Source organism: Homo sapiens, chromosome 13 (assembly GCF_000001405.40).
Source record: "Homo sapiens chromosome 13, GRCh38.p14 Primary Assembly".
Taxonomy (NCBI): Eukaryota; Metazoa; Chordata; class Mammalia; order Primates; family Hominidae; genus Homo; species Homo sapiens.
The window spans coordinates 100997890-101022562 of record NC_000013.11 but is presented as its reverse complement, the minus strand read 5'-3'; the positions used below and the strand labels follow the sequence as shown (position 1 = coordinate 101022562).

The following is a 24673-nucleotide window of genomic DNA, read 5'->3' as shown; positions in this document are numbered from 1 at the left end:
GTTGCTTTAAGTTACTAAGTTTATGTTAATCTGTCAGGACAGCAGTAGAAAACCTACACAGGCAAGTTTAAGTGACTTAAGTATAGCCCACCCAGTGCCTGGTGTGTAGTAGGAGAAGAGGAACCTGTGAAAATATTCATCCATTCCTTCCTGTAGAACCCCATTTCCCCAACTTTAATGTGTTCATGCATCACCAAGGGATCTTGTTATAATGTGGATTCTGATTCAGTAGGTCAAGGTGGAGCCCGAGACTGTGTGTTACTGGGAAGTTCCTACGTTGTGCTGATGCCAAGGCCACTCATCAAGAATCATACTTGGAGGGCAGGGCTGTGGAGCTCACCTCCACCAGTGGATCTCAACCCTGATTGTACATGATCCCTTGGGGGAAATTTTAAAATGCTCAGAAGCCTGGATTCTGCTTGTAATTTAATTGGTCTTAGGTGGAACAGAGGGATCAGTATCTTTTTAAAAGTTCTCAGCACGAGTCTCCTCTGAAGCCAGGGATGAGAAGTACTGCCCAAGACTTCTGCTACTCAAAGCATGGTCCCTGGACCAGCGGCACTAGTTTTACCTGGGAGCATGTTAAAAATGCAGATCCCACTCCAGACCTATTCAACTGGAATCACTGGGAGTAAGGTGCAAGAATCTGTGCTTTCAGTAGCTCTCCACATGATTCTAACGCTAGCTGGAGTGTGAGAGGCATTGTCTTAGAACAATACTCTAATTTTACAGGTGTAGAAATGAAACCCAGAGAGATTAAATGATTTTCCAAGACTGAAGCTGGAACACTATAGCCTGTGGGCCAAATCTGGCCTGTTTCTGTTTTTGTAAACCAAGTTATATTGGAACAAAAGCCATGCCCATTCGCTTGTGTATTATCTATGTCTACTAGTGGCAAAGTGGAGGATAACAACAAAGACCAAATGGTTTGCAGAAATGAAAATATTTACAATCTGACCCTTAAAGAAAGAGTGTGCTGACCCCTGCTCTCAGAATGCGCTTTAAATTAGTGGGGGAAAAAAGGCAAAATGCCAGCTGTTTTGAGGTAGTAACTGATGCAGACATAGAGGATGCAGAACATTTGCTAAATAACCACTGGGATCTGTTTTATCCCTATGTTTTCAGGGCAGGCAGGGCTATGAGGCCTGATCCTGGTCATTGGTCTGGAGATGGTAAGGGGTCACAGCAAAGACCCTCAGGAGGATGAACACCATCTTGTGAGGAAGGATCAGCCTCAAGTGAGGTCTTTGTAGATATCTAGTCTTCCTCTGGCTAAAGGAGGTCATGGTTCTTTAAACTCTTTCTACAGGCCTCCAGCTTTCACAGCACACCTTGAGTTGACAGTTGGCTGATCTGAGGGTACCATTTTCTTTAAGGCTGTCAATGCAGTTAACAAAACCCAGCATACACTGTGATCCTAATAATTATGCTTGCACTCACACAGTTTTCCAAGTCCAGTAACCAGTGACCATCAGGAATCACCTGTTGTCAAACAAATTAGCATAAACTCAGCAGCTTGAAAGAGTGCTCATTTATTTCTAACTCTGGAGATCAGAAGTCTGGGGGGCCTTAACTGTGTTCTCAGCTTAGGGTCTCACAGGCCCAAATCAGCATTGACATAGCTGGGCTCTTCCCTAGAGGCTGTGGGGGAGAATCTGCTTCCAAGTTCATTGAGCTTACTGCAGAGAAAAGAAGGCATTCCAGAGAACTGAAAACTGAACACACCCATGGCCAGTGGCTGGACCAGAGGTGGCAATAAGACTCTGAGCCACAACTTCTGTAGCAATCAGCCCAAAATGACCAGCACATGATTAATAGCTGACATATTTCTTGATTTTTGTCCCCACTTCCAATTCAGGACAAACCAGAGAAGGTCAAATATGTCCCCAACCAATCACATAGCCTGCCCTGCTCCTACTTGGCCACCTCCAGCTTCTCTAGGCCAACAGCCTCCAATTGGGGCACACCTGAAGACGTCTTTTTTGCCCACTGTAAAGCTCTCCCACCCCTCTGCCTGCCTTTGAGTCTCTGCCAAACACCAGTGATGGTGGCCGACTCTTTCACTACAGCAAGCTCCGAATAAATCACCATCCTTGTTCTCAGTTGGGTGGTCTTTATTTCTGTAGGGCTGTGGGATGTCTTGGAAACTAGGAATTAAGATAGGATTTTTGTAGAATTTGACCTTGTGCCAGGTGATTGGAGGGAGAGTTGAAGGAAACAAAGACAGTTCTAGACTGAATGCTGTTAGGGTATGTGAACAATTCAGTGATTTGGTTCCTTGGTAATTTTTAATTAGGAGGCAGGAGGATTGAATCACAGATAGAGTTGCAATCAGCACGAAGTGATAGTCTCTTATTCTTGTTAGAAGAGTGGCATGTTAAGTTATTTGGAGGGGGAGTTGCAGGGTGTCCTTGTCTCTATCTTGTTTCACTCACAGTCATGAAGTGGTCTTGTCTGTCTTGTTCCATGGTGGTGACACAGTGGCCTTGTCTAATTATTGCTTATATTCTGTGAGTGTTACTCATGTTCACTAGTACTATCTAGCCGTTAGCTGTCAGCTGCCATGGCCATTCTTCATGTTCTCATTGTTCACATGGTACCCTATCACTTACACCAGAGTTCAGCAAACTTCGTCAGTAAATGGAAGACAGAAAATATTTTAGGCTTTGTAGGCTACACACAGTCTCTGTTGCATATTCTGTGTGTGTGTGTGTGTGTGTGTGTGTGTGTGTGTGTGTGTGTGTGTGGTTCCAATCCTCTAAAAATGCAAAAGCCATTTTATACTCACAGGCCATACAAAAATAGGCGACGGACGATGGCTTGCCAGCTGCTGACCTAAGTTAATGCATTACCTTCCACCTGTGCCACATATCACTCTACCACAGGCAAGAGCCATAGTAACAGGAAGCTGTTGCATACCAAGGATTATCACCACTCCTCTTATCACCAGCAATGGGGTCCGTATTCCTCTTTGACTTTTAAGTAATCCAACTCTTCCCAGACTAATTCTCTTATCCACAGTTTCCCCCAAAGTTGAGTTGCAAGTACTTCAGTAGGGAGGGTGGTCCATGGACCAAGGGTGAGAGAAAGCAAAGCAGAGGAGGAGAGAGTCACCCTAACATTCTAATGATGTGTTCAGAAATTTGGCCATCACCACAGGCAACCAGTTGCTCAATTCTGCAGACCTTTTTCCCAGAGGAGGAAAGGAGGAAGCATTTCTCCATTAGCTTCTGACCTACTCTGGTCACAAGCTGCCCACAGGGAAATAACTCTGGTGCACTCATGAGCACTGAGCAGGTGCTAATGGCCATGCTCCATGCCATACCAATGGAGAAGACAGCAGCACAAAGCAAAGGCTATGTGTGTGAGCCTGGGGTGAGTATTGTCAGTTACACCTGCTGGAAGGTGCTGGAACGGGGGCACAACATGTAGCTCAGTAGCCAAAATGAGAGATAACACCTAGTGGATTTGAAGTGGCACTTGAAGAGGAGCTATATGCCTCCTACCTCCACCATTCCCTCTGAGCCAACTACTACACGAAAGCATCAAGGGGAACCTCGCCCGCCCCAATGGAATCCCTAGGAAATTCTTGCAAAATGAGTTCAGAGAAAATTAGATGACGCACTCCAGAAATCCTCACTTAGTCAGGAATCATATGCTTCATGTATCCACAACCCTGGCCACTGCAGACTGCTGCCCCTCCCCGATGAAACTCTTGCCCCACCCTTGATCTCCACAGCTCCTCCCATCCCGGTTTTCCTCTCACCTTCCTGGCTTCCACTTCCCTGACTTTTTCGCATCTGCAAGCATGCAGCTGAACTGGAAATGCTGATGTTTCCCAGGAATTTTTCCTAGGTTCTCTTTTTTCTCACTCTAAATGTCCTCCCAGGGAAGTCTGACAAGGCTTTAACGACAACTGTGGACAGGCTCAAAAATGCATGTCAACATTTTTCAGACCACTGGGCACCTGATCTTACCTCTATTTCCATACCAACAAGCATAATGAAGTCATAACTGTATGCATCTGCAAGAATAGGCCTGAATTAGCATGGAGGAAACCTGAACAGCCAGGAAACATTTTTCCTTAATTAGTCCAGCCCCAGAGGAAAGAGGAACAGAAGCATCCAGTATTGAATGAGTCCCTTGACTCCTTCAGCAACCTGTGACCCAGCCATCACTATCACTGATGGAGGCCAACAGCCAGCCTAACCTTGGGTCTCTTCTCTGTGAAACAACCTCAGGAAGGGAGCAACACAGGTCACTTGTGGAAGGTGTGAGATTTGGCTTTATTTGGGCATGAGCTAATAGAGCTGTGGTGGCCTCCTTTGATCACAGCACCCATTGAGGACTGGGTAAGAAGGTGCCTATGAAGGAAAAATGCATTTTTGCTTCCAATAACAAGAAAATAATTTGGAGGCAGGAAAGATAAAGTGTGTGGAGGTATGTGTGTTTGTGTGTGAGAGAGAGAGACAGTGTGTGCTCTGACAATATGAATTACTGTCTCAGCTAATACAGGAAAGGCAGGAATGGTGAAAGAGGAAAAGGGAATAAGAGGAAAGACCTCTGTAATTTTATTTTCAAAAATAAGATGCACATCTATTATGAGCTGAAATGTGTCCCCCCAAATTTATATGCAGAGCCAGTACCTCAGAATGTGACTGTGTTTGGAGATAGGGTATTTAAAATGGTAGTGAAGGTAAAATGAGGCTCTACCCTAACCCAATATGACTGATGTCCTTTTAAGCAAAGAGTAAGGCACACATACACAGGGTGAAGACCATGTGAGGACACAGGGAGATGACAGCCCCCTGCATGCCCGGGAGAGAGGACTCAGAAGACACCAACCCTGTGGATGCCTTGATGTATTCTAGAACTCCCGGCCTCCGGAACTGCAAGGAAATAAATCTCCGACGTTGAAGCCACCCAGTCTGCGGTACATTGTTAGGACAGCCTGAGCAGGCTAATACATCATCTTATCTCGGGGTTCCTCAGATTCAGAGATTACCTTATTCAAAAGGAAATGGTTTGATTTTTTTTCTACATAAAGGATTTATTTCCCTACTGAAGAGTGGGCTGAATGAAGTCTCTGGAAAATCTAATATTGAAAAATTCCAGTTAAGACTTCCCTCCCTAGTTCATCACTCCACAATTTCAGGGACAGTGTGGGGAATTCCTGTTTCCCACCCAACCCTTGGAACAAGACCCTCTCTCCCAGCAACAATGGAGCAGACAGAGAGGCTCCTGACCTGCTGCAACCTCCCTGGGTGCAGCTGAGACTCATTATGTCTCTTTATTATAAATAGCACTTATTGCCATGGGTACTTATAGAATCTGAAAAACGAACTCTTTTCAAAGGAATGAATTAGAATGGCAATGTGGAAAAATGTAACAACCAATTACTGCAAGAAACTCCCTTCTTTTTTCTCCTTTTGACTTATTTCATTAAATCAGGCAGCTTATATACTGAATCTTCCAATTTTTAAAAAATTAATTATAAGTGCCTAAAGGTATTGAAGCCCTGAACATTTATGAGACTACACAACCGGACAAAAACAAAAGGACGGCTGATTTCCCAACCAGGCAACTTAATTTCCCAATTATCTTCCTTCGGCAAATTGCGGATCTAAATATAACATATTGTAACCTTTGCCATTTTTCTGCAGGGCTGATGCATCAATGCCTTCATCTCTTGTTTTCTCTCTTCTGCTCAAGAAAACAAAGTTGGGGGTGCTGTCTGGATGTTTGTCAAATAAAGCATTCTACATTAAAAATGGAACCCACATAATATTACCCAGCCGGTATCAATGAGCGGAAATGGAAGGGCTTGAGCTCCCCATGCTGTGGACCCTGGGAACAAATTAATTAATGCCTTTGGATTTAGACCCTTTAGGCAGCATCTCTGAACAGACTATGGCTGACTCATAGGAAGCCCCTGCTTGTTATTTCAGGTTGATGCTAATTCACAGGCCACGGAGCCTCCACTAAGCAGAGTGTTCATGGCAGCTGATGGCAGCCCAGGGAGCATCGGGAAGTGGCCCGTTCCCTGAGAAGGACCCCGCGGTGCAGGGGGTGAGGATGGGATCCAGAAGCAACTGAGTGTCGATGACTTACAGGACCAAGCTCCTTTCTCAACTCAGACCCTGACCTCCAACAGCTTCTTGAAAAGGTCCAACTGCACGTCCTAAAAGTGTCTTTTCCTTAACAGAGCCGTCAAGCCTGGCTCTTCAGTTGTTCTGTGTTCAAATTGTTCCTGACCCTCTACAATGAGAGAAACCACTCAGGGTCTACCAAACCCCTCCGCGTGGTGCCCCAGCCTCTTCTCTCCCTCGGGACCACCTCATCCATGCCTACTATCCAAAACTTCTTCCCTTTCCTCATGCTTTGGCGTTGCATTTTGCTTTTGAATCTGTTTTTGCCAACATTGTTTAAATTTATATTTTTGCTCATGCCTCATGTTGCGGGCTGAATTGTGCGCCTCCTGCCACCAAAATGCATATATTGAAGTCCTAACTTCCCAGTATCTCACACCGTGACCCTATTTGGAGGTAGGTCTTTAAAGAGGTGATTAAAGTTAAGTGAAGTAATTAGGGTGGATCCCAATCCAAAAACAAACTTGTGTCCTTAGAAGAAGAGATGAGGACACAGACACCCACACAGGAAAGACCCTGTGAGGACGCAGGGAGATGACAGCCACCTACATGCCCGGAGAGAGGCCTGAGGAGGATGCAAACCCACTGACAGCCTGATCTCAGACTTCTAGCCTCCAGAACTGTGAGAAAATAAACCTCTGTTGTTCAAGCCACCCAGGCCATGCTGCTCCGTTACAGCAACCCTGGTAAACCAATCCACATCAACACCCTTCTAAGACATAACTTCTGATTTTTCCTTTTCTTTTTTTTTTCTCCTATTTCAACTATGCTTAAGGGAAAACTCCTCCACAATGCCTTCATCCCTTGGGACCAGGGGCAATATTCAGAATATTTTAAAACATTTACCGTATGGGCACTCTTCACCCAGAATAGATTGCAGTTACAGTGATGGAGTCATCATTACCCATCTTCTAATAAAAGGTAAGTCAAGGAGTTCCTATCCATGCAACCGGGCAGCTGTGGCCACCCCCATACCTATCTTCCTCTAGTGGGAAAGAGGCATCCTCATTCACTCACTTCAGTAGACGCTGGAAACCTCCACATCACCCTTGATTCCTCCGTCTCCCTTGCGTTATTTGTGATCACTTCTTACTGACCCTATTTTGAATGTTCCCGCATTACTCCTATTTAACTTCAGTTTATTCTGTCTCACCTGCACCCTGCAATGGCTTACTAACTGGCTCTCTCTTCCATCCCATTCAACCTTAGCACTCATTCTAGAGCTATCATGCCAAAGGACAGTCCCAATAAATTATCTCCCACCTCAAAAACACAATAAGCAGTTTCCGGTTGCACACTCCCAAAAAAGGTAAGAGTCTGCCAATCTATCTTTCAGGATCATCCACAAGCTGAGCCCAGCTCACCTCTTAGTCAATTTATTCATTCCATAAGTATTTATGCAACTCCACTAAGTAACATGTACTAGGATGAATGACACATGGCCCTTGGTTCCTCATATGCTAATGGAATAGGAAGGAAATTATAACAGAGCATGAGAAGTGCTGTGATGGGGATAAGTGCAGAATGCTCTGGGGACAGATAAGAGGGGCATCTACCTGAATTCAGTGATGACACCTGAGCTTGTTCCCAAGGGACATGAAAAATGGGGCACTTGAGCAGAGGGAAGGAGGACAGCTCAAGGCAGAGAGCACAGCTTAAACAAAGGCCAAGCACATTGTCACTTTTGGTAACTGCAGAAGATTTAATAAGGTTGTAGGGTCAACTTCAAGGGGAAGAACGATAAGACCTAGACCTGGAGAGGCAAGCTGGAGCCCCTCCCGAAGGGCCCTTTCCTGCTGAAATACTGTGAGCAGTTGTAATGCAATGGTAATATTTGTTTATCTAAACATAGAAAAGGGACAGTAAAAATATGATATTATAATTTTATGGGACCGCCATCATTTATGCAGTCCCTCATTGACCAAAACGTCCTTATGCAGCACATGACTTTATTTGTGCTTCCTGGCATGCTTTACTGAGAAAGTGGTTCCAGCTCCTGTGGTTTAGTCAAAGCTTTTACATGGGATCACCAGTTACCTTAACAGATGTCTCCTTTTCAGCCCGATGGCTCTACTGAGTAGACCACCAGGTAGGACAGGCCCCAAAGCCCTCGACTGTCTCCATGAAAGTGCCTGAGGCAGAAGGAGATGGTCAGCGGGGTGTTCCCATTTCCCTCCTTAGGGGAAAAGAAGAGTGACCCTTGTTTTTCGATATCAAGCAGTGGAGACAAAAGATTTTCTTGTAAATGCTTGGGAATGATGGTTTCTAATCCCCTGGAAGCTTTGAAACTTGCAAAAGCCCTACGTCCACACCCAGAAAACTTCCTAGGTCTAACAGACAGAAGAAAACAATGCAGCTCTTATGGGAAATTTAGCAAAGCCTTAGCCAGATGCTTAACACTCTTGGGACTGGAGAGAGTTGGACCTTCCAGCACACGGGGGTGCCCTGTTGTTTTGACTGGAAGTTCTTCTCTTAAGATCTGGGGTGCTGTCTGATTGGGCCCTTTCCCTGGGCCAAAGAGGCAGTCATGGGGACCATGCAATCCCTGTGGCTCCTCTGCACGGTGGGAAGCAGAGCTTCTTCTTTGTATTTAGTGGCAGGGTGGCACTGAAGGATTTGGGGTAAGAAAGTGCTTTGTAATATCCTAGAAGAATCAGTGAGATCTAAATGGAGGCTGCCTGCTTGCATTCAAGACAGCACTCCGAAACAGTTCCTCCTGGTGTTTTGTGTGTTGTTCCAGACTTTCACAAGGGATAAGCCTCCTTGGGCAAGATGACATCTCCCTTCTCACCAAGCCAACCCCAACCCCACCCTGCTGGGGTGGCAGTGAGTTCACCCATTGAATCATAGGCACTTGCCTTAGAGGGTGAAGCGCTACCACCATCTCAGCCTGCAAAAGCCATTTCCCAGCCATCGCCTAGGATCCCTGTGGCACTAATGACTGATGACTAACATCATATATTATTGCTGTGTTCCACCTGCCACCTTCTGGACTATTTTGTATATTTAGTCCTCATTTCCTCTATTAATCCTCAGGACTTAGCATTTTCATAAATTTCTTACCATCCAAGATGAGAGGAACATCAGAACTCCTGCTCGCTAACGACCAGCAGGCTGTGTAGAGGTGAGCAACGGCCAGCCTCCACTAATTCCACATCAGAGATCACTGAGGCATCCCCAGAGCTTGAGAAGTCAGCTTGCAAAGGAAAACAAAGGTCAGCAGCCTTTTGTGGTTGTTGTTTCACTAATTCTCTTCCACCCACTGAGAAACAGGACTTTGAATGTTCCAAGACATCATGAGGGTCCTAGCTTCCTGCCACCTAGTTGGTCCTGAAGAGACAATATGAAATCCGCTTTGGAAATGGCATGTGTTTTGGATACAGCCAGATCTTATATTTTTAACAGGTAGGAGGGTCAACCAATGTGGAAGCATAGTCTTGACCTCAATATCAAAGAACTTAAAGAAAGAAACAATACTGTAATCCCAGCACTTTGGGAGGCCGAGGCAGGCGGATCACGAGGTCAGGAGATCGAGACCATCTTGGCTAACACGGTGAAACTCTGTCTCTACTAAAAATACTAAAAATTAGTCAGGCATGGTGGCGGGCGTCTGTATTCCCAGCTACTCGGGAGGCTGAGGCAGGAGAATGGCATGAACCCGGTAGGCGGAGCTTGCAGTGAGCTGAGATCACGCCACTGCACTCCAGCCTGGGGAACAGAGCGAGACTCCGTCTCAAAAAAAACAAAAAACAAGAAAGAAACAATACAACATTAACATCCTTTCTTCTTCAGAAAAGAGCATAGAGAAAATTACAGAAGCTCTGTTCTTGTTGTTTGATTTGAATCTTCTCTGGGAAACACACAGCTGTTATTGTTCAATTACATGATTGCTTCCTTGTTAGATTCATTATTATGACTAAATATTAATACATTCCTTTTGGAGGGTGATGCAGTGGTTCTCCAGTGAAACTCGCAAGCAGAGTTAATGTCATTCCAAAATATCTTTATGAATTTAGATGTGCATACAGCCCCAACGTTCCTGATTTTTCTCTCTGGTTCTCAGAGAGATTCTTTGCCATATACACATTGTCTGAAGGTTTTGTCAGCATAACCACATTTTGAATGCAGGTAACAGAAATTATTTTGGTATATTCTGCACCTGAAGCTCTTGAATTTCTGGGTAATGATATTTCTAGTACTTTATTCCTGTGCAAGAGCTGCAGTTCCTTGCTTCCCTCAGCAGATAGACAGCTGCAGTTTTATTAGGCATGGACCTTAAAAAACATATTTCTATATATTTTTGAAGGGATGCTCACTCCAGACATAATATTTCAGAGACAACAAACATCACTACATGTGAAATGCCAGCAGAAGAATTCAGGACTTCAAGTCAAGAGACTACAGAGCAGAGAAGCAGTTGAAAAAGCAATTCCAAAACTTAACACTGTGAAAAAAAAAAATCTGCCAGATGACAATTCTGTATAAAAGTAGCCACACACACATAGAGTTGTACATCATGTTGAGACATAGGACAAATTTAAATTAAGCAAAAAGAAAAGCCAAGGCACATTTGGGAAATATATAGACCTCAGGGTTTGGGGGGATTTCGGGGGGTGTTGTTGCTAGTGGTGGTTTGTTTTTTGCTTTTTTGTGTTTTTTAATAAATTGGAAAGTCAACTGTGGAAAAAGACACAGATGCAAAGAGAAGTGTGATCAAGATAAGAATTTTAAGAAGGTAAAAGAAACTTCAGACACAATAGGACTTTAAAAGAATCAAACAGTTGAATATTTCTTTGGCCTGATCAAACTAGAGGCCGCAGATTTTAGAGAAGACTTGCTGAATAGAATCAACTTTGGGTTTGGGTTTAGTTTGGGAGGTGTTTGTGGGGAAGGGTGGAGTTTGTGATTGATATATATATGATATATATATCATATATATAAATGGTATATATATCATATATATATAAATGGATATATATATCATATATAAATGGATATATATCATATATATAAATGGTATATATATAATATATAAATGGTGTATACATATCTCATATATATATAAATGGTGTATACATATCTCATATATATATAAATGGTATATATATATCTCATATATAAATGATATATATATATCTCATATATAAATGGTATATATATAAATGGTATATATCTCATATATATAAATGGTATATATATATCTCATATATATAAATGGTATATATATCTCATATATATATAAATGGTATATATATCTCATATATATAAATGGTATATATATCTCTCATATATAAATGGTATATATATATCTCATATATATAAATGGTATATATATATATGTCATATATATATAAATGGTATATATATATATCATATATATATAAATGGTATATATATACACCAAGTCCAAGATCGATGTCACACCAAATTTTACACCCTATGTTGATGTCTGCTCCAGCAGACAAACATTATTAAATTCAATATATGCCACTCACTAGAGATATGGCTCCTCAATTCTGTTGAGAAATGAGTATCTCCCTCTTTCTTACTTCCCCTGCTCCTTCGCAAGCTTCTCTTTTTGGCCTTTCTGTTATAGTAATTTATGCCCAGATTCTGTCCAGGTGAGCCAGTTTCCTGAGATCACTGAAGAATCGCCTTGATGAGAAAAGCTGCAGATCATTTTATCGTATCATGTTTAGCTCAGCTTAACTTAAAGCAGGGCTAAAATGCCATAACTCCACACTGGGGCTTCCCGAACTCCTCTCACTCTATGATGAAGCACCACACACCCACCTCTCGGCCTCCCTTCCTGAGAGACAACCCCCAAAATGGCCAATATTTCTCATTTCAAATTCTATGCACAGCCCATATTTGTCATTTCAAATTCTATGTAAGCTTCCTGCAGCCCCTTGATATATAGTAGCTATGAAGATATACGTCTTTAATGCTTTAGAAACATACATTTATATTTATTATCCTTAATAAAAAGCAACAAGTTATCAACTGTTTTGTTCTCTGAGTTGATCTACCAGCCTATAACTGGTTTCTAAATGCTCCTAGATGTCCTGTACCTCCGCAAGTCACACTGTGGGAAGCAAATGAAATGCATGACCACAGTTTTACATAACATTCATATGTAAAAAGATGAATGCATCTCTTCCAAACACATAATTTAATAGGCTGTTCTAATAAAACACTGGGGAATTTAAATGTATTACACAATAACAATTCCAAATCCAATAAAAAAGAAAAGTGGATACATTGTCTTGAACTAATAAGGAAAATAGAATTTAAAATTTTTAATGCTATTTTTGTACAAAACAATAGTTGGGTTTTTTTTTCTTCATCTCCCACAACAGAGTGCAAAGAATGACAAATTGTCTGATTCTGCATAAAGCTTGGAAATAGAGTATTAATCTTAGGTTGATGTAAAATGTAACATATAATGTGAAAGAGCATATTGTAGAGAAGAAATGGGACTGTATATCGTGATGAAATCTGAATACTTACAGTCATGTTATTTTTCAAAAGGAGGTGATAGGTTCCTTTCCCAGCCATATGGGAAATTAGTTTTGGAGGGAGTGTTAATACATACCCCAAAATTGCCTCCAGACATAGCCAATCACCCAATCTTTGCTCTTTGTTGGGTTTTATTTTAGCTTTGTTTTTGTTGTGTTATATTTCCTGAGCATCATTCTATACATTCTCTGTTTTCATTATTGTTACTATCTATCTTCTGTTATCAGGCAAGCAAATTATGCTATATACTGGATCAAATGGAAGAAAACATCAATTTTGACCCCGTCTCACTGTATAAGTAAAAATCAATTCCTGTTAGATTGTAGATCCAAATGTGAGAGGTAAAATTTAAAGTTCTAGAAGACATCATAAGAGAATATGTATATGATGTTGAAGTAGACCAGATTTCTTAAATAGGTGCTAAAACCACTAACTGTAAAGAAAAATATTCATACTTAACTATATTAAAATTAGATACTTCTGTATATGAAAAATTCAACATGAAGTAAATTTAAAAATATAAGTAGGAGAAGATATTTTCAATACATATAACTGCCAAAGGATTTAAATCCTGCCTATTTAAAGTATCAATAAAAAGGGAAAAAAATAAGTTGTAGAAAGTTGGACCAAAGGCTTAAATAGACACCTCACAAAAGAGGGTATCCAAATCACCAAGAAACCTGAAAAGGTGTTCAACCTCATTAGTCATCAGGAAAATGAAAATTAAAACTTCAGTGAGATGCCACTCCACACTTGTTAGAATGAGTAAAATTCCAAAAGACCGAGAATACCAAAAGTTGACAAGAACATTGAGTAACTGCAACTATCGTGTAATGTTGGTGGGAGTCTATAATACAGCTTCTTTCAAAAACTCTTAGATAGCAAATGACCATGTATAGCTCTAGGATCTAGCAATTCCTCCTCTGGGAATGTATATACATGTGCAATAAATGACATGTCCATCAACATTAGAATAAATTATAAAATTGTTGTATATTCATACAGTAGAATACAACAATGAAAACATGCTACATTCAACTGTGTTGATGATCTCAAAAACAAAAGTAGATGTACACACAAAATTACATACTAATCAATTGCAAAGACAAGCAAAGTTACCCGTGGCATTAGAAGTCAGGTTACCTTTGGGAGAACGGTAACTAAAAGAGAGTATGAGGTGGGGCATGGTGGCTCACACCTATAATCCCAACACTTTGGGAGGCCAAGATGGGAGAATCACTTGAGCCCAGGAGTTCAAGACCAGCCTAGGCAACATAGTGGGACCTCGTCTCTACAAATAATAATAATAATAATAATAATAACTAAAAATAAAATAAAAAGGAGTATGAGGAAGGGGGTCTGGTTGCCAACATTCTGCTTTTTTACATGAGTTGTAGGCACATGGATGTATTCACTTTATGAAAATTCATCAAACTGGGCTCTTAAAGCCTGGATACTTTTCTATATATACACTATACTTCAAAAAAATCTTTTATTAAAAAAATTAAGAATGGCATGGCAACTATGAGCCCTCCTGGGTTGTCAATCCTCCCACCTCAGCTTCCTGAGTAGCCAGGACTACAGGAATACATCATCATGCTCATATTTAAAACGAAGAAGGTTGATTCCCACAATTGCAGACTAATTATATTGATATTTGATTTCAGGGGAAAAATAGTAAATCGGGTGAAAATCGCTTCTATATCATAAAATGCCTTTAAGCCCAGCTATTTTCTAATACAGCTTGTATATGTTTCTATAGACCATCCCATTTTGAATGGCATTATGATGCAAAAACCAGCCAATTTTAAGAAAACAAATTAAATTAGTTAAGCTATTTTTCTGATACAGCTTATGTTTCTATATACTGCCCCATTTTAATAGAATTATGAAGCCAAAAGCTAGTAAGATTAAGAAAAAGAATTAAATGAGAATTAACTTATACAACAGGGTGCAATTAATTCTAAACTGCTGTAATATATTAACTCACCAGAAGTGAACATCAGGAGTAAATCAGACCTGCTGAGAGAGTGAGGGTGTCAGAATGGCACAGTCAGTTTTATGCCTGCCAAGTCTGTATCATTGCTAACCAAAGTCAAATACAGTTACTTTGAATATCTGCTCCATTTTCTCCATGTTTCTTTCTTCTATTAGTTGCAGGATAACTAGTAAAAAAAAAAAAAAAAAAAAAAAAATGCAGTTGTCAAATGAGACATCTCATACCTTTTGTGATGTAAAATTTTCAGGAAGGAAAATGTAAGACACATTACTCAGGATAGTTGATTGTCTTAGATTGGAGATAAGGGAACACCATAGCCTCACCCGTCTCTTTCTTACTAAGAAAAAGACAGATAACCAATAGAATATTGGATGGGAGACTTAAATAAGACTTCACAAAAGACATAGTAGAGGTGTAATGGCTGCAGTATTCAAGCGTTCCCAGAAGAGGGACATTAAGAAGCAGTGGGACTTGACAAGGGGTTAGACCAGGGCCAATGAAGGAAACTGCACATAGGAATGTAGCCTATGGACTTTAGATGATGTATAATGTTGACACCTTTCTTTTTAGCATTTCTAATTTCCTTATACCTTCCTCAAGTCTCCACTGGGAAAGTAAGGTAATGAGAAAGCTGCTAGAGAGTGGAGACAACCAGAAGAAGCAGTTTGACAGGAATTGAGCCAGTTAGACATTTGCAGCTGCAGAATGCAAGCCAGTCCTGAGGCCCTTCAGCAGACTGTAGGGGGAGAGAGGGTGGCTTCCCCAATGTGATGGTTAATACTGAGTGTCAACTTGATTGGACTGAAGGATGCAAAGTATTAATCCTGGGTCTGTCTATGAGGGTGTTGCCAAAGGAGCTTAACATTTGAATCAGTGGGCTGGGGAAAGCAGACCCACCCTTAATCTGGGTGGGCAACATCTAATCAGCTGTCAGCGAATATAAAGCAGGCAGAAAAACATGAAAAGGCAAGACTGGCCTAGCCTCCCAGCCTACATCTTTGTCCCATGCTAGATGCTTCCTGTTCTGGAACATCGGACTTTTAAGTTCTTCAGTTTTGGAACTCGGACTGGGTCTCCTTGCTCCTCAGCCTGCAGGTGGCCTATTGTGGGAACCTGTGATTGTGTAAGTTAATACTTAATAAACTCCCCTTTGTATATCTATATCTATCTTATTAGTTCTGTCCCTCTAGAGAACCCTGACTAATCTACCCACCATATGAGACAGAGCTCACATTTGACTCTCCACATAGTAAACAGAAGCATTTAGAGAGGTGGGGTCTACATGTGGAAAGAATCTTGCACACAGTAGTTACCCCAAAATAGGTAGCTATTATTATAATCATCTAGTTCATGCTACAAAAACATCAGGAAAGCCTCTACAATATTATTGAAAATCGAACAGCCTATGGCCAGTTAGGAACTGGTCCGTACAGCAGGTGAGTGGTGGGTGAGCAAATGTTACCATCCAAGCTCCACCTCCTGTGAGATCAGTGGCAGCATTTGATTCTCATAGGAGTGCCAGCCCTATCATGAACTGCGCATGTGAAGGATCTATTCTGTGCCCTCCTTATGAGAATCTAATCCATCTCCCCACCACCCCTGTCTGTGGAAAAATTGTCTTCCAGGAAATCAGTCTCTGGTGCCAAAAAGGTTGAGGACCACTGGTCTACAGTAACATACACAATCTCTATCAGAAAAATAACTTGAATTTGAGGTACCCTGCAATATGGAAATTATGATATCACAACTAAGGAAAGTCACTGTTTGAAAAATAAGATATTAGTGCAAAAGTAATGATTTCTAAGAAAAGTTTGGAAGATTTTGTCAATAAAGAAAATGCAGATAGAAACTGGGAAGAATTTCAGAAGATTCACCTACAAATAGTCAGGGTTGTGGAAAATTGCATGTCATTATAGATTCTGCTCATTGAATTTTCTTTCATGTTCATTTTCCCTACATAGGAGGGATGCAAGTGTCAAATGAAATATGTGATATCTTTTGCAATGTGAAACTGTCAGGAAAAAAAATTTAAGATGTGTTACCAAAGGGCATAAAATTCAAGCTTTTAGGCCGGGCACAGTGGCTCACGCCTATAATCCCAGCAGTTTGGGAGGCTGAGGTGGGCAGATCACCTTAGTTCGGGAGTTTGAGACCAGCCTGACCAACATGGAGAAATCCTGTTTCTACTAAAAATACAAAATTAGCCAGGTATGTTGGTGCATGCCTGTAATCCTAGCTACTTGGGAGGCTGAGGCAGGAGAATTGCTTGAACCCACGAGGTGGCGTTTGCGGTGAGCCAAGATCATGCCACTGCACTCCAGCCTGGGCAACAAGAGCAAAACTTCATCTCAACAAAAAAAAAAAAAAAAAAAAAAACCAAGCTTTTAATAGATTTACTAAAGTATAAAATTTCATCTGTGCAGACATAAATACCATATTTTGCATATGGCATATTATTCAGTGTTATGGAGTAAAATAGGTACATTAAGCAACAGAAGGCCATGGGCACAAGATGAGTAAAAATACATACAATATACTACATAGTGCTTAAGAGGTAAGCTCTATATAGGATGCACAAAATGAGTGGAGAGTGCTTGAGGAACAATTCTGGTGAGCTACACTCAGCTGTACTTAGATGAGCTCTACAGGACAGCTGAGACAATGAGAGGTGTCTTAGTCCATTTTGTGCTGCTATAATGGAATACCTGAGACTGGGTAATTTATAATAAACAAAAATTTATTGGCTCATGTTTCTGGAGGCTGGGAAGTCCAAGATCAAGGGGTGAGCATCTGGTGAGGGTCTTCCTGCTGCATCATTCATGGCAGAAGGCAACAGAATGAGAGAATGAAAAGGGGGCCAAACTCATCCTTGTATAAGGAACCCACTCCTATGATAACAGCATTAATTCACTCAGGAGGTCACAGCCTTCAGGGTTAATCACTTCTCATTAGGACACACCTCCCAACATTGTTGCATTAGGAATAAAGTTTCCAACACATGCTTTTTGGGGGATATATTCAAATTATAGCAAGAGATTACTGTCCAACTTGATGGAAGGGCAAAGCTAGTAAATGTGGCTAGATGAGGCTGACACACTTATAACTGGGAAGCATATAATGAATGCTTAAAACGTTGAGGATGGGGCAAATGAGTAAGTCTAGGGGAGCTGACTGGAGGTACCATCCAAGTGAGAAATATCAACATTAAGCGTGAGCTCAGTTTCCATCTTTTTTTACCCGATCCATGAGAGCAATGTGGATTTGTAAAACCAACCCAAGCAAAAAATGTATTGATGTGACTTGAGTTTGTGTCTTTTCAAGAGTTTCCTGTGCCATCTGGCACCACCAAAAGCCTCGTGTTGGAGTGGGGTGCACCACTCCATTAGTGGCACAGGTGATGAGCATGCAGTGAGGTCTGCTCTGCTGCAAAGGTCAGTGACATGCTGAGCTACACAAGATGCCCATGTCTGTAGTGCAGGCTCCAACATGTATCCTTAGGCACATGCGGGGCCCTTCTTTCCATACATGGAGGTGGTACAGTGCCTGCCTACTGAGATGCTTCATGTCAAATCAACATCTCCTTCATTAAACTTCTTGGAAGCCCTGTTTTCCACACTCATGATTTATGTCACTGCTTCCTTAATGAAAGGTCTACTATAGCTCATGGAATCCTGCATCGTGCTTTCTGTGAACAAATTACTTGGGGTAGGCCAGTCTCTTGAAATTTTTACTTAGCAGTGATTTGTCCAAGTGCCTTTTAAAATACTTCTAAAAGATTCATTGGTAACATGTTTTTTAATAATCAGCCTATATAAATCCCTCACTGACTTGTTATTACAATAGTACTTATTATTGCAATTTCTAATTTGCCTCCTGAGATAATTTTAGTTTCCATATTTCTATTATAAATATTGTGAATAGTACCTATTATCATCATCATTCTGTACTGTGGCCTTTATTACACACAAGAAATTACACACAGACCTTCAAGCAAATCCAGAGTTTAGAAAGGCAAACTAAAAACATTCCTTTTATTTGCTAGAACAGTCTAGATCTGAGAGAGAGAGAGAGAGGGAAACTTCTGACAAGTTCTCACCCATAGGAATTTGTTCTGGGATTGCACCAAGTTGGCCTACATCCCTGAAGATACAGAAGTCAAAGGAAGAATTTGACTCTAAGTACTAAGAGTGCATTTTTGTTTGAATGGTTCCAAGTTTGGGATAGAAACAATGACAGCACAAGCAGTAATCTGTAATAGTAAAGATTAAAATAAAGAGGTATTGGACTCTTACTTAGATTTTGCTCTGGTTCATTCAACAAGTATTCCCTAGAAATCTTTGTGTCTGGGGTAAGCATAAGGACTTCAAAATGAATGAGGTGTAATCTCCATCCTTCAGAGATTAACAAGACAGTGGGGGTAAGAAGGGAGAGCAGACACATAGACTTTACTGTTGCACAGGAAGCCTAAGTGCACGTGTATCATACACAGTGTAAATTAATTGCAATGCAATGAGAATAGAGTGAAGAGAAGCAAGCTTCTATGGCACCACCTTTATACTGTTTTTATCAAATAGCCATAATCCATACTTAATTACAGCCGGATAAACTACAGAATTTACAACCAGCCCATATGATCCTGTTCAAGATGGCAGACTGAGTGCAAACATGTATGACCACTTCTTCCCAAGACTTCCTTAAGGTGTTAATAAAGCAATGTGGTTATTAACTATATACTCACAAATTAATTAAATATGGGAGAGGGAGGCTGCCTAAAACAAGAGATAAAACAAATTTCTAGAAGACAGAAATAGGTGCAGAGAAGGCTGCAGCTAAGGAGGAAGCCAGACTCTGGTGGGATCTCAGTACAGCTCTGTCATCAGGATGGCAGAGGTGGCAGAGGGCAGGGTGGGAGGGATGTTAATTAATAGTCTACATCTGAAATGCCTGAAGCCCGCAACTCCATGTACAGATTGTCCTGCAAGACAGATGTTTAATCATGAAGAAAGCTGCAACTTTTTTTCTCTAAAGAAATAGACAAACTACCAAGTGATAATTATAACCCTTAATGTAGGGTTTTGACATCCTGGAGCAAAGCCCCCCACATTCCAGCATTAGGGTAATCCTCAGTTTAATCACCAGGTCCTCTAAAAAAAAAAATCCTGCTGCTTTACAAATGCCACCAGGGAAGCCTCAGTCTGAATATGACTGGGAAAGCAAGAACCACCAGAAATCTGAAGAAAGCCTGCAGCATGACAATGACCATGACGAATTATGCAGAAAAGCTAATCCCAGAGGGAAAGGAGGGGGACTTGCAAAAATGGCTAATTAATATGAGAATTAATATTAATATGAGCGTTGATATAATGATGTATTACATCCAGAGAAGCAAGAGAAGTAAAAGGAGCAAAAGAGGAAGGAGAAGGATAGGAAGAGAGAAGGACGTCTCGTGAAAAAAGAACAATTACTTCAAAATCATGCCACTTTTTAATTCTTATATTAATCGCTTTCTATCTGGACCATGCCTACTTCTGTTTTGTTTGCTTTAGTGGAGAACAAGAATGCTGAATCAATTTGAACGTTTTTCCTTAAGTTGCATGGGGCTCGTGACACTGGAACCACAGAGAAGGAAGTATAATCAAAAGAAGCTACTCCATTCTCAATTTTCAGTAAGCAATGTTTGTATAATCATTTTAACAGGAATTCTGCATGTTCATTCAACACGTGTTTATTGACTCCCTACTATGTGCCAGGCTTGTGTAGGCACATGGACTACATCAGTGAACAAGACAGTAAACAAACAAGCCTCCCCATTGTAAGCTACATTCTAGAGGAAATCCATAATATATTATAGATAATCATTAGGTAAGTTTTGTAGGGTTAAGTGCGCTGGGGAAATGCTAGAACAGGCAAAGAGGGATAGGGTGTGAGTTGTGAAGCAAGTTGCATAGGGGCCAATGAAATTAGGTGAAAAGATGTTATCCAAGGGAGATTTGAATGTGGCGAGGAGGTAGCCATCTGAAGGCCATGAACAGCCTTTTGACGAGAAGGCTATTTGCCAACCAAAAAGGTAAAGGTGGCTGTCCCAGAGCAAAAGAGTGAGAGAGAGAGTGGGAAGGTGGGATGGAAGTTGAGTGGGAGGAGGTAGGTGGGTTGTGTGGGACTTTATAGGTCCTTAGAAGGACTTCAGCTTCCACTTTGAGTGAATGGTGGACATTGCAGGGAATGGGGCCAGATGAGCGATGTGATCTCAAACAACATCATTCAGGCTGCTGCAGTGAGAACAAGTTAGAAGGGGCAAAGGCGGAAGCAGAGAGACCTATCAGGAGGCTATTGCAGTTTATTGTTTTTTAATCATTTGATAGCCAAAGCACAGGAGGCTTAATCCATGTTAAAACTCAGATCGTCAACGTTAGCAGCCTGGCAATATTAAAGTCAATGCAGAACTCATAAAGGTGGGAGCTCACGATGGGGAGGAGAAGACTGGGATCAGTCTGTGCCTTTAAAAGACACTGCCTTTCATTATAAGCTCTTTTATGCTCTCCACTTTTTAAACTACATATATGGATAACCAATTTTTAAATTGTAGGTTAAATATGCCAATTTCAGTCTAGAAAGTAGTCAAGATAAATACAGTATCGCTTATATTCAAATTGCTGCTTGTTGGCATTTGGGGCAGAACTTATTCCCTCATACTGGCTTTCTAAATTATTTTAAAACATCTATGTTATCATCTCTTTCAGTCATATGAACATTTTCTGCCATCTTCATTTACACATCTGCAGCACCCAGTATTAAACAGCCAAAATTATGGTGCAAGACAAGGAGGTTGCTGGACTTAAATATTCAGCATGGGGAATGGTAGGAAAAAATGCAGAAGATTCCAGGCTCTGCCACTTAAGAAGGATGTGTCTCGGAATAGATATTCCTGAGCAACTTCCTGAATATCCCTGAGAACTGGTAAAACTGGCCCAAGATAAGTGTTGAAACTGAGGGTCGTTTTGAGTGCTTAATAAGCTAATAGATGTGGAATACTTTGTAAAATTAAAGGTGCTAAAATTTTTAGGCTTATATAGTTGATATTTCATAATCATTAATCATTAATGCTTTGCACGGTGCTCCATAAATTCTATACATTTTACTTTGTCTTCATTCCTTATAATTGTTAGTGGTGTGCTATTAAGTATAACAGCAACTACCCTGAACTTTGATTCAGATGTGACAGGTGGCTGGTCCCATAAATCACTTTGTGATACTTCAAATCTAATTTCTTCATCTTCCAGTTTTAGGTCAACATAATTTCTATAATGAATTCTTCTGAGTCAAAGAAAACATTTTAAAGAACTTTACTCTTATCCTATGCAAAACTGGTCTTATGAAAATGACTTTACTTTGATCATATAACTTGCATGCTGGATTTTATCACATGGTGTTTTGACATCTATTTGAAATTTAAAGGAAATTATTTCACTCACCATGAAGTATCTCTGCATACATCTCATATAAGAGGCTCCCTAGAATTAAAATACATGTGTGAAAAGAATAATTGCTCCTTCCAACACCCTAATTGTTCATAATATCAGGTCACTGAATGTTTAGAAACCAAGTTGTAACTAGCTTGCAATCATATCATCTTTGGCATGGCTGACAACAAGCCTTTTAACTACACGTCCTACAATAAACAAGAAAGCAGGCCTCATATGTTCCCTAAAACTTTATTACGGTGCTAACCTTTCTACAAGAAATGGCATTTTGGAAATGCCACATGCATTTTAACTCTTGTTCCAGTTACTGATGGCAAGAATGACCTATCAACAAAGACAGAGGATAAAGAGTCTCATCATTACCCATATACTAACAACAGTCATTCGGGGTTATTACAACCCCATTTTTCACTCAGGGCAATGCCATTTTATTTGTCAAATTGCTTTAATAAATATTACTTTCTATCACTACCAGAGAACAGAAGTGTCCTGGGATACTTTAAGTTACAAAGTCCTATAGGGACTTTACTTCCAGTATCTTCCTGTATCTCTTTTCTTAAATTTTCTCTTTTCAGGTTGATCAGCAGGAATTGCTCTAAATGTCCAAGTCCAGATTCACATACAAGTAAAGGAAGAATGGAGAATTTTTTTTCTCCTCAAATATCTCTTCAAAACATTTGCAGAGATTCTAAAAAGAGGGGAAATCTTCTTGTCTATTCTAGTCTGAAGAACAATCTACAGGTAAAAAAATCTCCCCTGGACCAGGCAGATTGGGAAGGATGTAATTAGCATAATGAATAGGTTCAAAAGACTCTTGCTGAATCATTCAAATTAGCCAAATCAACTCTGACCACTAAACCAGATGATAGTTGAAGCTTCTAATGTGGTCAGCATTTGGAACTGCCAAGGGTTCAAGTCCAAGAGCCCCATTTTAATAAATACTCTAGCAAATACATTTATGTTTTATTCATCAAACACCAATTGAGATGTAAATATTTATGTCAACCACGACCATAGGTTGTAGGAACAACGATGAACAAGACACCGACACCAAGTAATTGCCAAGTCAGTTCCCATTCCTGATGGGGCACAGAGATCAATAAAGGAGAGCAAGGGGCTTTGGGGTGTTTCATGTTAGGGGATGTTGTCATTTTACACATGGTGGTCAGAGATGTCTTCTGGGATAAAATGACATTTCAGTAAAGACCCAAAGGACGGGAGAAAGTTAGCCATGTGAATGATGAATTCAGAGCAGACATCTACCTTGCCTCCTTACTTGTCTTTAAAAGCAAAGTTTCTGTCACTTATGTTTATCTTATTTTGATATGGAAAATAGAGGATAAGCAAAAATATTATTTTTCTTCTACTGCATCAATTTTTAACTTTCAGAAGCTAATTGCCTATTTGCATCTTCTCACTTCTGCCAAGTCACTTCACGATTCATCACACACAGAAAAAGTCACCAACAATCTTGGTCCTTGAGAGGACATGCCGTCAGGATCAACTCAGCGACTGCGTACTGCACTCCAGCTGGAAGGCTGGATAAGAAATGCATGAGTGGGACATGAGAACTTACTGGATTTTCTTCATGCTTTCCTTGAAGCCTCTTGCCATAGATGCTCCATTTAGCTGAATCTCAGCCTACACATGCATCATAGAACCAGGGATGACAGCCAGCAATACTTTTAGGGGCCAGAACAAGTTTTCATTTCTTTTAAAATGAGAAGAAAAAAATGAAGTTTGAGTTTTTTCAAGAGTCTTCATTTGGACACTTAGTTCTGATTCTGTGGTCCTCTTCCTTTCTAATGGAGGTATTTAGGATACAGCCATCTTTCCAGTTTTAACTGCATCCCATGAGTTGTGTTCCGTAACACTGGTGCTATCATTCACTTCCAGATATTTTTGGATTTTCATAATGGACTCTTCTTTGACCCATGGGATACTTAAAATTGTGTTTTAAAATTTTAAATTATGGATAAGGATTAATATTTTATATGGCTTTCTAATTTGATTGCACTGTGGTATGATTGCACCGAGGGAACATGGCATGTTTGATATCAGTTTTTGGCATTTATTAAAATTTGCTCTAGTGTCACTATTTAGGAAATTGTTTCATGTGTCATGAAAGTTCAAGAATTCTTTACATGTTGGGAGCAAGGATGTGTATCCATTATATTAAGCTTTCAAATTTTAATCTCCCATATCCTGCCTAGTATTTTTGTTTATACTATGAATTACTGAGCACGGCATGCCAAATCCCTCATCATGACTGTAGATCTGTCCACTTCCAAATGTCATTTAAAATGTTTGCATCATACAGAGCCAAGTGGTAACATGGGTGGAAACAGGTTTAGAATTCTAGTATCTTACTAGAGATTTTTCTTTTTTTCTCTTCGTATAGTGATTGTCTCTCTCCTAAATTTTGTTTTCTCATTAAAGTCTGTGTGGCCTGGCATTAACACTGCCAGCCACTCCGGTTAATATTTTCCTGGAATAATGTTTTCAGTTTCAACTCAACCTTTTCC

At 40.5% G+C, this 24673-nt stretch overlaps 1 long non-coding RNA gene across 1 annotated transcript in view; it reads right to left on the bottom strand.

Moving 5' to 3' along the window:
• Positions 1–24673, bottom strand: part of NALCN-AS1 (NALCN antisense RNA 1) — a 350962-nt gene that overhangs the window by 36724 nt on the left and 289565 nt on the right. The window contains exon 3 of the long non-coding RNA NR_047687.1: positions 9213–9345. This is a non-coding gene — a long non-coding RNA (NALCN antisense RNA 1). The remainder of the gene's footprint in view (positions 1–9212; positions 9346–24673) is intronic.